Source organism: Homo sapiens, chromosome 9 (assembly GCF_000001405.40).
Source record: "Homo sapiens chromosome 9, GRCh38.p14 Primary Assembly".
Taxonomy (NCBI): domain Eukaryota; kingdom Metazoa; phylum Chordata; class Mammalia; order Primates; family Hominidae; genus Homo; species Homo sapiens.
Window position 1 is genome coordinate 22,712,123 of NC_000009.12, and position 16,172 is coordinate 22,728,294.

The following is a 16,172-nucleotide window of genomic DNA, read 5'->3' on the forward strand; positions in this document are numbered from 1 at the left end:
CTGGTAGGAGGTGATTGAATTATGGGAGAGGGTCTTTCCTGCACTGTTCTCATGATAGTGAATGGGTCTCATGAGGTCTGATGGTTTTAAAAAATCAGGGTTTCCCTGTACAAGTTCTCTTCTCTTATCTGCTGCCATGTGAAATGTGTCTTTCACCTGCCACCATGATTGTAAGGCCTACGCAGAAACGTGGAACTGTAAATCCATCAAACCTCTTTCTTTTGTAAACTGCCCAGTCTTGGGTATGTATTTATCAGCAGCAAGGAAACAGACTAATACAGTAAATTGGTACCAGTAGAGTGGGGCACTTCTGAAAAGACACCCAAAAATGTGGTAGTGACTTTGGAACTGGGTAACAGGCAGAGATTGGAACAGTTTGGAGGGCTCAGAAGAAGACAGGAAAATGTGGGAAAGTTTGAAACTTCCTAGAGACTTGTTGAATAGCTTTGACAAAAATGCTTACAATAATATGGACAATGAAATTCAGGCTGAGGTGGTCAAAGAGGGAGATGAGGAACTTGTTGGGAACTGGAGCAAAGGTGACTCTTGTTATGTTTTAGCAAAGAGACTGGCAGCATTTTGCCCCTGGCCTAGAGATTTGTGGAACTTGGAACTTGAAAGAGATGATTTAGGATATCTGAGAGAGGATATTTCTAAGCAAAAAAGCATTCAAGATGTGACTTTGGTGCTGTTAAAGGCATTCAGTTTTACAAAAGAAGCAGAGCATAAAAGTGGAAATTTGCAGCCTGACATTGCAATAGAAAAGAAAATCCCATTTTCAAAGGAGGAATTCAAGCCAGCTGCAGAAATTTGCATAAGTAACAAAGAGCTGAACGTTAACCCCCAAGACAATGGGGAAAAGGTTTCCAGAGCATGTTAGAGGTCTTAGCAGCAGCCCCTCTCATCACAAGACTGGAGGCCTAGGAGGAGAAAATGGTTCTGTGGGCTTGCCCATAGGTTACTCTGCAGTGTGCAGCCTAGGGACTTGGTACCCTGTGTCCCAGTCACTCCAGCCATTGCTGAAAGGGGCCAATGTAGAGCTTGGGCTGTGGCCTCAGAGGATGCAAGCCTCAAACTTTGACAGCTTCCGCATTGTGTTGAGTCTGCCAGTGCAAAGAAGTCAAGAATTGCGATTTGGGAACCTCTGCCTAGATTTCAGAGTATATATGGAAATGCCTAAATGTCTAGGCAGAAGTTTGCTGCAGGGGAGGGGCTCTCATGGAGAAACTCTGCTAGGGCAGTGCAGAAGGGAAATGTGAGGTTGGAGCCCCCACACAGAGTCCCTACTGGGGCAACACGTAGTGGAACTGCGAGAAGAGGGCCATATCCTCCAGAACCCAGAATGATAGATTCACCAACTTCTTGCATCGTGTACCTGGAAAAGCTGCAGACACTCAATGCCAGCCCATAAAAGCAGCTGAGAGGGAGGCTGTTCCCTGAAAACCCACAGGGACAGAGCTCCACAAGACCATGGGAACCCACCTCTTGATCAGCATGATCTGGATGAGAGACATGGAATCTAAGGAGATCATTTTGGAGCTTTAAGAATTGACTGCCCTGCTGGATTATGGACTTGCATGGGGCCTTGTAGCCCCTTTGTTTTGGCCAGTTTCTCCCATTTGGAACAGCTATATTTACCCAATGCTTGTACCCCCATTGTATCTAGGAAGTAACTAACTTGCTTCTGATTTTACAGGCTCATAGGTGGAAGGGACTTGCGTTGTCTCAGAAAAGACTTTAGACTGTGGGCTTTTGGGTTAATGCTGAAATGAGTTAAGACTTTGGGGCACAGTTGGGAAGACATGATTGGTTTTGAAATGTGAGAAGATGAGGTTTGGTGGGTCCAGGAGCAGAATGATATGCTTTGGCTGTGTCCCCACACAAATCCCATCTTGAATTGTAACTCCCACAATTCCTATGTGCCAGGGGAGGAAGTCAGTGGGAGGTGATTGAATTGAGTGGGGGGAGGGCGGGTCTTTCCTGTGCTGTTCTTATGATACTAAATGAGCCTTACAAGAGCCAATGGTTTTAAAAAACGGGAGTTTCCCTGCACAAGCTTTGCCTCTGCCATTCACGTAAGATGTGACTTGCTCCTCCTTGCATTCTGCCATGATTGTGAGGCCTCCCCAGCCATGTGGAACTATAAGTCCAATTAAACCTCTTTCTTTTGTAAGTTGCCCAGACTCAGGTATCTCTTTATCAGCAGCATTAAAACAGACTAATACATCTCCTATTCTATTTTTTGCAAAAACTTGAGAGGAAGTGGTGTTAATTCTTTAGATCTTTAGTAGAATTTATCATTGAAAGCATCTTGTCTTAGGCTTTTCTTTGTTGGAAGTTTTTATTATTATCTTTACTATTTACTACATCTATTTAAATAGATCTTGTAATCAGTACTGGTCATGTTTTTCTTTGTCCCTTGTAACAAATTTGACTTAAAGTCTAGTTTGCCTGGTATTAGTATAGCCACTCTGGCTCAGTATAGTCACTCATGGAATATGTTTTTCATACTTCGGTTTACAAACTACTTGTGTCTTTATATTTAAAGTGAATCTCTGACAAACAGCATATAGTTGGATTATTTTAGCTCATCTTATGAAGGTATCTTTTAATTATAGAGTTTAATATATCTAAAATGTAATTAATTATAATGAATATAATTATTAATAAGGAATAAGTTATTTTTCCCATTTTGTTATTTGCTTTCTATATCTTGTACTTTTATTTTTGTCTCACAACACATCCCTTGCTGCCTTCTCTTATGTTAGATAACTATTTTAAGTGTTCCATTTTAATTCCTTTCTTATTACCTTTACTAAATGATTTCTGGTTATTTCTTAGTGGATCCTTTGGAGATTACAAAAGAAATCCTAATTTATAACAACATTATTATATCATTTGAATTAATGTCATATAGTGTACACTAGTTACTTTCTTCCTGTCTCCCCTTTATTGATTTTTATGCCACAAATTCCATTTTTATTTATAGTGTGCCCATTAACATAGATTTATGATGACTGTTTTGTTTAACTGTTTTTTTAAAATCAAGAAGGACAAGAAAAAGAATTACAAACCGAAATTATATTAATACTGAATTTTATATTTACCTGTGTAGTTGCCTTTTGTGTGGATTGCCTTTATTCTTTTGTGTGGATTTCAGCTACAGCCTAGTGTACTTTCACTTTAGTTTAAAGGACTCCTTTTAGTATTTCTTATAAGGCATATCTACCAGAAACACACTTTTAGTTTGTGTGTCTGTGGGAATATCTTACTTCCTTCTTCATTTGTGAAGTCGGTTTTAGCCAAATACAGAATTCTTTGTTGATTTTTTTTTTCCTTTCAGCGCTTTAAATATGCCTTCCCACAGTCTTCTGGCTTTCATAGTTTTTTTTTTTTTTTTTTTTTTTTTTTTTTTTTTAATGAGAATTCAGCTGTTAATCTTATGGTGAATCCCTTGTATATGATGAGTCTCTGCTCTCTTGCTGGTTTTAGGTTTCTTTTTGGGTTTATTTTCAGTTTTGATCTTTTTGCGTTTATGCACCTTGACATTAATTAAGTTTCTTGTATATGCAGATTCAGGTATTTCACCAAATCTGAGAAATTCAGTCATTATTTCTTTCTTTCTTTTTCTTTTTTCTTTTTTTCTTTTTTTTGAGACGGAGTCTCACTCTGTTGCCCAGGCTGGAGTGCAGTGGTGCGATCTTGGCTTACTGCAACCTCTGCCTCCCATGTTCGAGTGATTCTCCTGCCTCAGCCTCCTGAGTAGCTGGGATTACAGGCATGTGCCACCACACCCAGCTAATTTTTGTATTTTTAGTAGAGACGAGATTTCACCATATTGGCCAGGCTAGTCTCAAACTACTGACCTCAAGTGATCCACCTGCCTCAGCCTCCCAAAGTGCTGGAATTACAGGCGTGAGCCACCACACCTGGCCTAGTTCTTTAAATATTCCTTCTGCCGCTTTTTTTTTTTTTCGTCTCTCCTCTCTTCCTAGAACTAACATTATGGATATTTTTGTATGCTTGGTATCCCACAGGTTTCTTAGGCTCTCTATTTTTCTTTATTATTTTTCCTTTATGGTCCTCTGACCTGGGAATCTCATTTGATCTACCTTCAAATCTTCCCTATACCTTTTCAAATCTTCTGAATTCCTCTGGTGAATTTTTTATTTTAGTTATATTTTTCTACACCAGAATTTCTATTTGGTTTCTTTTCAAAATTTCTATCTGTTTATGGGTATTCTCTGCTTGGTGAGACATTGTTCTGATGACTTCCTTTATTTGTTTGTCTATGATTTTCTTCAGCCATGTTAGTATATTTAAAATAGTTGATTATACATTTTAGATGAGATATTAAAAATATACATAAAATAAAATAGTTGACTAAGTCTTGGTCTAGTAAATTCAATGTCCAGGCTTTCTCAGGAAAAATTTTTGATAATTTCTATTTGTATTTTTGGTATATGGGTTATATACTCTTATTTCCTTTCATAACTTATAATTATTTTCTTGAAGAGGGGATATTTTGAATATTATTATGTAACAACTCTCAGGATCATGTTCTCCTCCTCCCCAGAGGTTTATGTTCTTCATATTGACATTGTTTTGCCTGAGTGTCAAGTGGATTTTCTGCACTAATTTTGTAAAGTCTAAATTTCTTCTTTGTGTTCCTTAAAATCTCCATTTCATTATATTGTTGGTCAGCTTGTGATTTAATAGTGATTTCCTTAAACTTGTAGAAACAACAACAACAAAACACCAAAACCCCAGTCTTTGAAGATAGTCTCTGTTTCTGTGTTGGAGCACATGTTTCACATTCAGACAGGAAGACTGCAATTCTGCCTAATGCTTTACTTCTGATTGAGTAGAGTTCAAGTCACAGTGAGAGCTTGGGGCCTTAACCCATTTTTTCTGAACATGTATGTTGTAGCCTCAGAGGTTCTCAGTAGTATGTGGAAGATTTTTAATTCCCTTATTACCAGAAGCATCTAATTTTCTAAGCTTTCCTCCCAAACTTTTAGCTTTGTCTATTGCTTACCCCAACTGTTATCCCTTGCCCTAGGTGGCAATGAATAATGCATTTGTTTAAAATATTTTTTTCCTGGTAGCCACTTCAGTACTGGGAGAGTTCAGAGTTCAGTAAAATAAAGACAAGCCTAGTGGTCCTTCAGGGAGCCAGCAGATGTATCAAAACAAAGTCATACTTTTTTGAAAATGAGATTTATTTTGCTCCCCCTAGTGCTAGGCACCTATAACCTATATCAAAAATGAGAATTGTTGTGCTCAAAGTTGCTGCACAGGTGGGAGACGCTGCCCAGAGAAATTAAGACTCCACAAACGTATACTAGCAAGAATCAAGTTTCTTGTTTTTCTTTTCTTAATTAAGCATTTTCCTGATTACTAAAACCTATGATGAGTTTTTCCAGAGTTCTAATAAAGTTGCTTCTGACAGTGCTTACCAGTTTCTTCACTTTTTTTATGCAAGGACAGTCTTTTGTAATTCCTTATTCAGCCATTTTCACTGATGTCACCTCAATTTGTTTAATTATTCAGGAAAGTTACTAAAATTATAATTGGTTTTATTTATTGTGTTCCTTTGTTTTGTATTTATTCCTGAAAACATTATTACCTATTTTGGATTTTTTTACTACCTTCTGTAATTATTACTTATCTCAAATCCATTTTTAAAGCAATTTTTCAATTTCTTTTTGATTTTTAAAATTTTCATCCATTTGACTATTTCTATTAAGGCTTTAATCTTTTGTATTTATTGGTTTTTTTCATTCTCTCTAGTTTGGTTTTCATAACCAGAAATATCCTTTCTAATTATGTCCTGAGTTGCATAGTCTCATTTTGAATTTTGAATAATTCTTATTTACCTTCTTTCATGTTTTGTACCAGAGCTTTAATGTGTTTTAGCTATTCTGGAATGATCCTTGGCCATTCAGTTTTGATGACTGATTCAGCCCCTTTACATCTTTTTAAACACACTTGCACTTACCCACATTTCCAGTAGGTAAAACTCTCCAATTTTAGTTGCTGCACACAACTAAAATCTACACCATTGTGGTTTTAAATAAATACCTGTTGGTCATTTGGATTTTTTTCCATTCTCAAGTATTTCAGATTCCCACTTGCTTTCTTGTGCTTTCTCCCCTCCAGACAGTGATAGTAGGCTGGACTTCTGGCTGTTGTTGTGATTTCTTTTTCCAATTCACTTATTTTGGGGTTCATCAGGCACCTCTTAACTAAATTTTATTAACAGGTTGCCCATAAATTCCTGACTTTCACATTTAGTTGCTGAGTCTGTTTTTGTCTGGGGATCCAAGGATATTGAAAAACTATGACCCCTGCCATCAACTTCGCAGAATCCCCATTCATTCTTATTTGATGTTTATCCATATATTTCATAAACACATCTTAACTAATATTGATAAAGTTAAAAAATAGATTATTGGCAGGTAAACTGATATGGATTAACCTTCATCAGTTTACCACTATTAACACCAAAGTTCATTTGCAATATTTTATTTTGTACACTGTGATAAGTTAATTTTGATATCACCTGTCATTTATTATAGATATGAATTATATTTTAATATGTAAAATATATTTCAATATATGGAATATAGATAATATATTTATATATATATGAAATAACATATGACCCCAAGATTGATGTATATATATGTGTCTGTACATAGCAAGCTATTTGCTTCCTCTAGGGGGAGCAAAACTTAAAATTATTTTTAAATTTTAAAAGAAATGTATTGATTCTCATTAATACACTGATATTTTTATAATTTGAGAACAACATTTTCTGCTTTAAATAGTAGCTTTTTATACAAAGTTTTGAATAGCGACATATTTTAAAATGACTAGATATTCATGCACATAAATATTCATCTGGACAAAAAAATTTAAGACTCCAAAGAAATTTTTCAGCTGCTTAGAGAGAATTTTATGGCTTGACACTGTAGTTTTTCTGTTGCCTTCTTAAATTTTCCCTTATAGTTATATAACCTACTTTATGGAAAAGCTGCCACAGAGTCAGAAAGCTACTAGATAATGACAGAAAAAATTGCATAGTTTCCACTTCACTAAGCTCAGAGATGAAAGTTAAATATTGTTTTTGTGTTCTAGTCGTGTATAAACTTACTATCACAGAACACACTCTGCCCAAATATTACTATGCTATTTTGGCAATAGCACTGGTAATGTTCTCCACTGAATAGTAAAATATTTCAGAGTCTCTATGAGCTTAATATTTCAAACCTTTAAAAACTAAAGGAAAAAGAAATAACTTTAAATAGTTTTGTTAATACAACGACATGAACAGGTTTTGTAATTTTGATTAAGTGTTTTAGAAAATGTTTCATGGGAGATGACTACCTTGAATATGAGATGACTACCTTGAATACATATGCTCTGGGTTTGATCAGGTTTTTATAAAACCTTGAAAAGCATATAACTATGTTTTATCGTAGTGGATTAACTGTCAAGCAAATCACTTGATGTGTTTTGATGTTTTATACAGACCACTATACTGTCTCTTGGGCAGCAATACTAACAACAGAAAATATGCAGAAACAGAGATTTGTTAAGAACACATATATGCTTCTTGAATTATTCAGGTTTTAAAATGATGCTCCAAGCATACCATTTTCAATACTCTGCAATGTGTTCTGTTGACATTTGCTAAAATTTTGTCATGTATTTTTTTCATCTCATAAAAATAAGTGAATATTCAACTTTTCCTTCTTTATATTATTTTTGTGAGAAATGAGATCCTTTATGGTGAGACTGTGTCACTACTTGTATTATATTACACTCACTGAACACAATTTTTCTCATTTAAAAAATGAAGATTAAAATACATAGAGTTAATAAAATTGCTCAACACTATGTCAAAAATAAGCTAGATTATATAAAAAACATTAGTTTCTTCCATCTTTCCTCTACATAATAAAATATTTATAACCAATTTTTGCAGTATAATCATCCTGCACTATAATCTACAATATCTCCCAAAGAGCAAGTCTTTGTTTCTGTGTAGACAGGCATTTGCATTTTTTAGACATCTGATTATAATCAGTACTCTATTTATTCTTACTATATAACATTAGGTGCTTCCATAGACTTGTTTACTACCTTTGAAGTTAATCAGAGAAGGGGTAATTTTGCCAATCAAGTACCTCAGTAGGGTATATCTTAATTTTCTGATTTGTACATCAAAAATTGATCTATCAAAAACAAGCTTTAAATTTGGTAAAGAAGAAGACGTTATTGTTGCAGATGCTGAAAAACTATATTAAAGAACGTAATCTTCTGTCCTAAAAAAGACGCAAATATCGTGACTCTGTAAATATGTCTTTCACATGCCAGGCGCAGTGGCTTACACCTATAATCCTAGCATTTTGGGAGGCCAAGGCGAGTGGATCATTTGAGGTCAGGAGTTTGAGACCAGCTAGACCAACATGAGGAACCCCACCTCAACTAAAATTTAAAAAAACTAATTTACTTCATAAATTTACCTTTTCTATACAGTTGTTATAAATAGATACAACAAGACAATATTTAGTCTCTTATGTTTGACTTCTTTCATGTAGCACAACATTTCTGAGTTTTACCCATGACACAGCAAGGGTCAGTATTTGCTTCATTTTTATCACTAAATAATACTCCATTCTATGGATATACCACATATTGTTCATTTATCAACTGATAGGCATTAGATTATTTCCAGTTTTTGTTTTTCAATATTCCACTTGGTAGAACTCTCTTAGCATACAGAATTTTTACATCTTATTTCTGTCTCCCTTTCTTCCTTCCTACCTTCCTGCTTCCTTTCCTTCCTTTCTATATTATAGCTTTCCAACACAAATTATGAAATCAGCACCAATAAATAAGTTATAGATGTTGCTAACTGGATCCAAACGGGTTATCCACTATTTATAATAAGTAAAAGTTTAGGTCCTTGGAGTTTATTATAACAAATAAAGAAGGGAAATTAATGCGACTTGGAAAAAAATAGTAATAGAATCCAGAAAGCTAAGTTTATTAAAGATTCATTTGCTTATGAAAATAATTCAATTAACAATTATTAGCCTTAAACAGATTAAGCTAATTTTGAGAGTTAAATATCTACCACATATAGATGAACATTTTTATGTTGACAATTTTCATTCTATACAAAGCAACACACAATTTATTATTGAACAATGTCAAATTTCTAAACTGCAATATCATATAACACCTTTCACAGAAAATGCCATAAAACTAAATTGCATCATTTCTTAAGTAAAGATAGAGGAAGACTAATTGCTTTAGAAGGGCTATGAAGGCCAACATAGATAATATAATTGGATTTCTAATTAATTTAATTTGTTTTACAATTACCATAGATAAATTGCTATTACCACAATTCTTTTTTGTTGTTAAAAATTTAAAGTGATATAATTTATCTCTAATAAATGAGAGATAAAGTAATTGACTTTTATAAAATACATTACTATCTATTCCCCCTAGAGACATATATAAAAACAAGTGAAGTTTTAGATACTGTTGTACAAATCTGCTTGGGTTATGTAGAATTTTAGTGAACTTTCAGGGAATTCCAGATGAAGATCATAGAATAGTATCCTTATTAGGATAGACAATACTCATGCTCTTTTTCTAATTCAGAAAGTTGATACTAATATTTATAATAATCATTATGGATTGAGGTAAATTTGTTTGGGTGAGAGGGTGTAGCCTCAACAGGAGTCTGAGCAATGATTGTATTGGTCAGAAATGAGACCTACAGGATCCCTATGCAACACTCAATCAATTGGCAGAGAGAGAACAATTGCTGTTAGGACATATTAGTTACATAACTGACGACTGCTGAACACTGTGATTTTAATTCATTAAAATCATTTAAGTTCCATTAATTTTCTTCAGAGTTCCACAGCATTTTTAATGGTAAACTTATAGCACTTATTATAGGGCTTTTAAGATTAGATGTTCAATTTTCTAGTTTATTATAATAGATAAAGATTTGGCTTTTCTGGATATTTTTTGCCTTTTGGTCAAAAACGCAGATGATAAATGTGTCAAATAGCCATTTTTGGTATCAGTTGTATAAAGGCCAATAATGAGATACATCTTACAAATGTTCTTTAAAAAACACCTCTAAATCTTACATATTCTCTTTGCAATTAGAAATAACATTCTTATTTTTGTGTAACTCTTATTACCTAAAGAGAGTTAAAGGGTTTATGAAGAATTAAAAAGAGTGAAGAATGAAACATTCATTGTTTCAACAACCCTAGACATTTGAAAATATTTCAGGAGCCTAAAGCTGATGTAATTACTATTAGAGATCTATAAAAAGAAATTACACCTGTGTAAAAATCTGAATGTCAGTAAAATGCCTCTGAGTGCTTAAACTATTTCATTTTTCAATCTACGAAACAGAGATAATATTTGCCACCCACATATCTCAGAGGAATGACATGAAGAAAGTGTTTTGTGCTTTTGTCATATTTAGCCTTCATTCTAATCATCCTATTAACCTGCTTCTTAGTCATTACAAAGACATCCCTGACAAAGCGACATGTCATTGTTAAAACACATTCCTTTAACTCTCATACTGTACATCTTTGCTCCCAGGAAGAATTTGTGCCCAAGGATGGTGCTTGACATTTGATTTAAAGGGACTTTTATTTAGGTTTCTACTATCAAGTATTTGAGCCATTTTAACTATTTTACTTACACATACTCTGAATCGGGCACCTAACAATAAAGCAAATTTTCTTTAAGAACTTAAATACTTACAGAAGAAATTTCTGTAATGCATCTATTCAGAACTTTTACTTTGAGCTAAAAGATAAACATCATTCAACAACCATAGTTATAATGCATAAGTTATATATACTAAATTTACTATTCAGGTGTTACCTAAGAAGAAATTTAAGTATAATAAAGAACACTTATTTTTTTACTCAACTACACTTTATTTCCTAAAAATTAATGTGTATTGCAAATTAATCTTAACTTTAGGTAGAAAATGGTTTAGTGCTCTTTCAGATGTTGATGTTAAAGATAATTTTGCTTTAATGCAAGATAATATTACTCATTTTTGGTTTGGCAGAAAATACTACTTGTCTCAAAATATCCAATTTCTTTTCTTCTCATATATACAGGCAGACTAAAATTCTCAAGATTCCTATGCAGTCGAGTTTTACCATATGACTGAGTTCCAACAAAGAAATATGAGTAGAAGATTGTATAAGCATCATTTTTGACCCAGGGCTTTAAGAAGCAGGTATGTCCACTGACTATTATTTTTTCTTTTCCACTGCTTATATATCAACACGTCTGTAAGAGATGCTAAAACCACAGATAGTCGACTGGCTACTTGAATCAGACTCAGGCTGGGAAAACTCATGTTGAATGGTAATGTGAGTATGAAATAAACTTCTATTTTGTTTTAGACATAATACACCTTTGGTGCTAATTGTACTGCAGCTTAGTCCACTCTAATATAACAGTGTAATAATTATTTCTTTTTTATTTGGACTTTAAAATAATTGAATAATGAATGCAAACTTAGCATTGATATTCACTTATTAATATTACTGTTACTTAAATAAACACAAGACAATGATTATTACTAATGACAATGTAGCAAAATCTGAATCATAAAGACAGCAAACATAAAGGCATGCAAGCTTAACCATCAAGTTAGCAATATTCTTATAATGTGAGCAGCAGGAGCATATCCATGGTTCTCCTTATTTTATAAACAGAAATCAAGTATAAAGTATGTGGTTGCTTATAAGTCTTTGAAGGGAATGAGATTTTATCCAGCTTCTTAGAAATAAGCACATGAGCACTGACTTGATTCTCTGAAGCTCTCATAGATGATAAAAGATAAATGTTTCTCATTCCAAAACTCTGGAAATTTGTATTAGATCACACTCCCTCTTTTAATTAATATGCAAACACATTGCAGCACGATGATATATGTTTTCACATGCACCATCTCATTTGATAGTCCATAACAACTCATATGACACATCAGTGTACCCTATTTTGAAGAAATACACAATGAAAATCAGATAATTGTATCAATAACCTTAATTCACAGCACTGGAAAGCAACAGAAAAAAAGATTTGGTGGGAGATCTCCTTGCTTTATGCTGACAATTCTTTCTATATTAATATTTTGGCTGTAGCTTGGAATTATAAACCCTCTGGAATAGAAGAATTTTGTTTCCAGCATATTAAGTGTATCTCTTGAAAAAAACAAATAAGAAAGCTAAAATTTATTTTAATGTTTTTAAACATTAGTCCCTGGTTTTATAATTAATAACACATCTACAAAGATTTTTATTTTTTATTTTTAATCAAGCAAAAATGGGAATCCTGGGATAGAAACAAGTACCAAAATGAGAATGTTTCTTGTGATAATCTACCTAGACTGATAACACTGAGATTCCATTTTGACAGTTGTACAAATTGTGGGAAATAATAATTCCTGGAGCCAGTCTGGAAAGAGAATAGCAGGCTCCCACATGAATCTGGGGCCTTCAAAGTGCTACTCTTTCTGAGAAAATGTTAGTGAAAGAAAAGTTGAATTTCCCAACCCTAGTATATGGTAGGATAAAAAAATCTATTGAGAATTTGTAAACATAAATAGTTGTCCACAAAGTTGTGTGGCCTGAATTCATTCACACTGTTTAGTTATAAAACATCAAGCAGATAGCTTTGTTTGAAGCCATCTTGGGATTGTATTGCTTCTAGGCTACTAGCAAAGAAAATACAAACCATTTCTGGAGAAATGTAAGTTTTCTTATATAATAACTTAACAGATAAAGTCCAATGAATGTGAATTCATAGCAAAGTAAGAAAATGCAATCAATTCTTATTATTTGCAGTAGTTATGCTCCATAAAGTTGCTGTGAACACTGGATTAGCAAATATTGAACAATTGCTCCTAAGGGAAATGTGGGGTTAGGTTCCTATGAGCTTGTGGTCATAATGTTTTCATTAACTGATAAATACATCATTTTTTATTATGTATGTTTCTGTTTAAAGACACCTTAATTAATATATATTGCTAGTTCATTAACATTGAACTCATAGCCGATAAGATGCCTTTTCTCCAGAAGGCACACTAAAATTTTCATTTGTTTAGAAGCACTAAAAAACACTTCAGCACTACGCTTGTGGGCCATTTTAAAATGTAAAAAACCATATAAATGTGAAAAATATGGCCCTAAATAGACAGCAAAAAAGGTCATTTATTTATAGTAGGAGATCTGAAACAAGAGGCAGAACTTCACTCTGTTTGACCTCAGCTGGGAATCTATCAGGTGACTCAAAATTTTTTTGCTACATTGTGAATATACACGAATGACCACAGAAGTGCCATGAGTATTGATTTTAGGGTTACAAATATATTTTAGCAAGTAGATAAATTCACAATTACAGAACCCATGATAAATGAAGACCAAGTATACTGCCTAGCCCTGTATGCTTGAGCTAATAAAAAAATAAGCAAACAGCAGAATCAGCCATGTAAAAACTTTTTGTGTTAGAATTATCTACAAAACATACAATAAATACATTTAATATTCTAAAAGAAATAAGAATCCTTGAATGAGCATAGATTAAGGAGCTGTAAACATGACCAAGCAGATTTCCTAAAGAACCATTGTAGAAATGAGAAAATATGAAGGGTTTTTTTTCTTTCTTTTTTATTATACTTTAAGTTTTAGGGTACATGTGCACAAGATGCAGGTTAGTTACATATGTATACATGTGCCATGCTGGTGTGCTGCACCCATCAACTCATCATTTAACATTAGGTATATCTCCTAATGCTATCCCTCCCTCCTCCCCCCACCCCACAACAGGTCCCGGTGTGTGATGTTCCCCTTCCTGTGTCCATGTGTTCTCATTGTTCAATTCCCACCTATGAGTGAGAACATGCAGTGTTTGTTTGTTTGTTTGTTTGTTTGTTTTGCGATAGTTTGCTGAGAATGATGGTTTCCAGCTTCATCCATGTCCCTACAAAGGACATGAACTCATCTTTTTTATGGCTGCATAGTATTCCATGGTGTATATGTGCCACATTTTCTTAATCCAGTCTATCATTGTTGGACATTTGGGTTGGTTCCAAGTCTTTGCTATTGTGAATAGTGCCACAATAAACATACGTGTGCATGTGTCTTTATAGCTGCATGGCTTATAATCCTTTGGGTATATACTCAGTAATGGGATTGCTGGGTCAAATCGTATTTCTAGTTCAAGATCCCTGAGGAATCGCCACACTGACTTCCACAATGGTTCAACTAGTTTACAGTCCCACCAACAGTGTAAAAGTGTTTCTATTTCTCCACGACCTCTCCAGCACCTGTTGTTTCCTGACTTTTTAATGATCACCATTCTAACTGGTGTGAGATGGTATCTCATTGTGGTTTTGATTTGCATTTCTCTGATGGCCAGTGATGATGAGCATTTTTTCATGTGTCTTTTGGCTGCATAAATGTCTTCTTTTGAGAAGTGTCTGTTCATATCCTTTGCCCACTTTTTTGATGGGGCTGTTTGTTTTTTCTTGTAGATTTGTTTGAGTTCATTGTAGATTCTGGATGTTAGCCCTTTGTCACATGAGTAGAATGCAAAAATTTTCTCCCATTCTGTAAGTTGCCTGTTCACTCTGATGGTAGTTTTTTTGCTGTGCAGAAGCTCTTTAGTTTAATTAGATCCCATTTGTCAATTTTGGCTTTTGTTGCCATTGCTTTTGGTGTTTTAGACATGAAGTCCTTGCCCATGCCTATGTCCTGAATGGTATTGCTTAGGTTTTCTTCTAGGGTTTTTATGGTTTTAGGTCTAACATTTAAGTCTTTAATCCATCTTGAGTTAATTTTTGTGTAAGGTGTAAGGAAGGGATCCAGTTTCAGCTTTCTACATATGGCTAGCCAGTTTTCCCAGCACCATTTGTTAAATAGGGAATCCTTTCTGAACTAAAGGAGGAAGTTTGAACCCAAGGCAAAGAAGTTAAAAACCTTGAAAATAAATTAGACGAATGGCTAACTAGAATAATCAATGCAGAGAAGTCCTTAAAGGACCTGATGGAGCTGAAAACCAAGGCCCAAGAATTACGTGACGAATGCACAAGCCTCAGTAGCCGATGTGATCAACTGGAAGAAAGGGTATCAGTGATGGAAGGTGAAATGAATGAAATGAAGCAAGAAGAGAAGTTTAGAGAAAAAATAATAAAAAGAAATGAACAAAGCCTCCAAGAAATATGGGACTATATGAAAAGACCAAAACTACGTCTGTTTGGTGTACTTGAAAGTGACGGGGAGAATGGAACCAAGTTCGAAAACACCCTGCAGGATATTATCCAGGAGAACTTCCCCAATCTAGCAAGGCAGGGAAACATTCAGATTCAGGAAACACAGAGAATGCCACAAAGATACTCCTCAAGAAGAGCAACTCCAAGACACATAATTGTCAGATTCACCGAAGTTGAAATGAAGGAAAAAATGCTAAGGGCAGCCAGAGAGAAAGGTCAGGTTACCTACAAAGGAAAGCCCATCAGACTAACAGCTGATCTCTTGGCAGAAACTCTACAAGCCAGAAGAGAGTGGGGGCCAATATTCAACATTCTTAAAGAAAAGAATTTTCAACCCAGAATTTCATATCCAGCCAAACTAAGCTTCGTAAGTGAAGGAGAAATAAAATCCTTTACAGACAAGCAAATGCTGAGACATTTTGTCACCACCAGGCCTGCCCTAAAAGAGCTCCTGAAGGAAGCATGAAACATGGAAAGGAACAACCAGTACCAGCCACTGCAAAAACATGCCAAATTGTGAAGACCTTCGAGGCTAGGAAGAAACTGCATCAACTAACGAGCAAAATAAGCAGCTAACATCATAATGACAGGATCAAATTCACACATAACAATATTACCCTTAAATGTAAATGGGCTAAATGCTCTAATTAAAAGACACGGACTGGCCAATTGGATAAAGAGTCAAGACCCATCAGTGTGCTGTATTCAGGAAACCCATCTCACGTGCAGAGACACACATAGGCTCAAAATAAAGGGATGGAGGAAGATCTACCAAGCAAATGGAAAACAAAAAAAGGCAGGGGTTGCAATCCTAGTCTCTGAT

The 16,172-nt window shown here is 34.5% G+C and overlaps 1 long non-coding RNA gene across 1 annotated transcript in view; it reads left to right on the forward strand.

The window, feature by feature from the left end:
• The window catches only part of LINC01239 (long intergenic non-protein coding RNA 1239), a 178,014-nt gene that overhangs the window by 65,923 nt on the left and 95,919 nt on the right, over positions 1-16,172 (forward strand). The window contains exon 4 of the long non-coding RNA NR_038977.1: positions 11,187-11,308. This is a non-coding gene — a long non-coding RNA (long intergenic non-protein coding RNA 1239). The remainder of the gene's footprint in view (positions 1-11,186; positions 11,309-16,172) is intronic.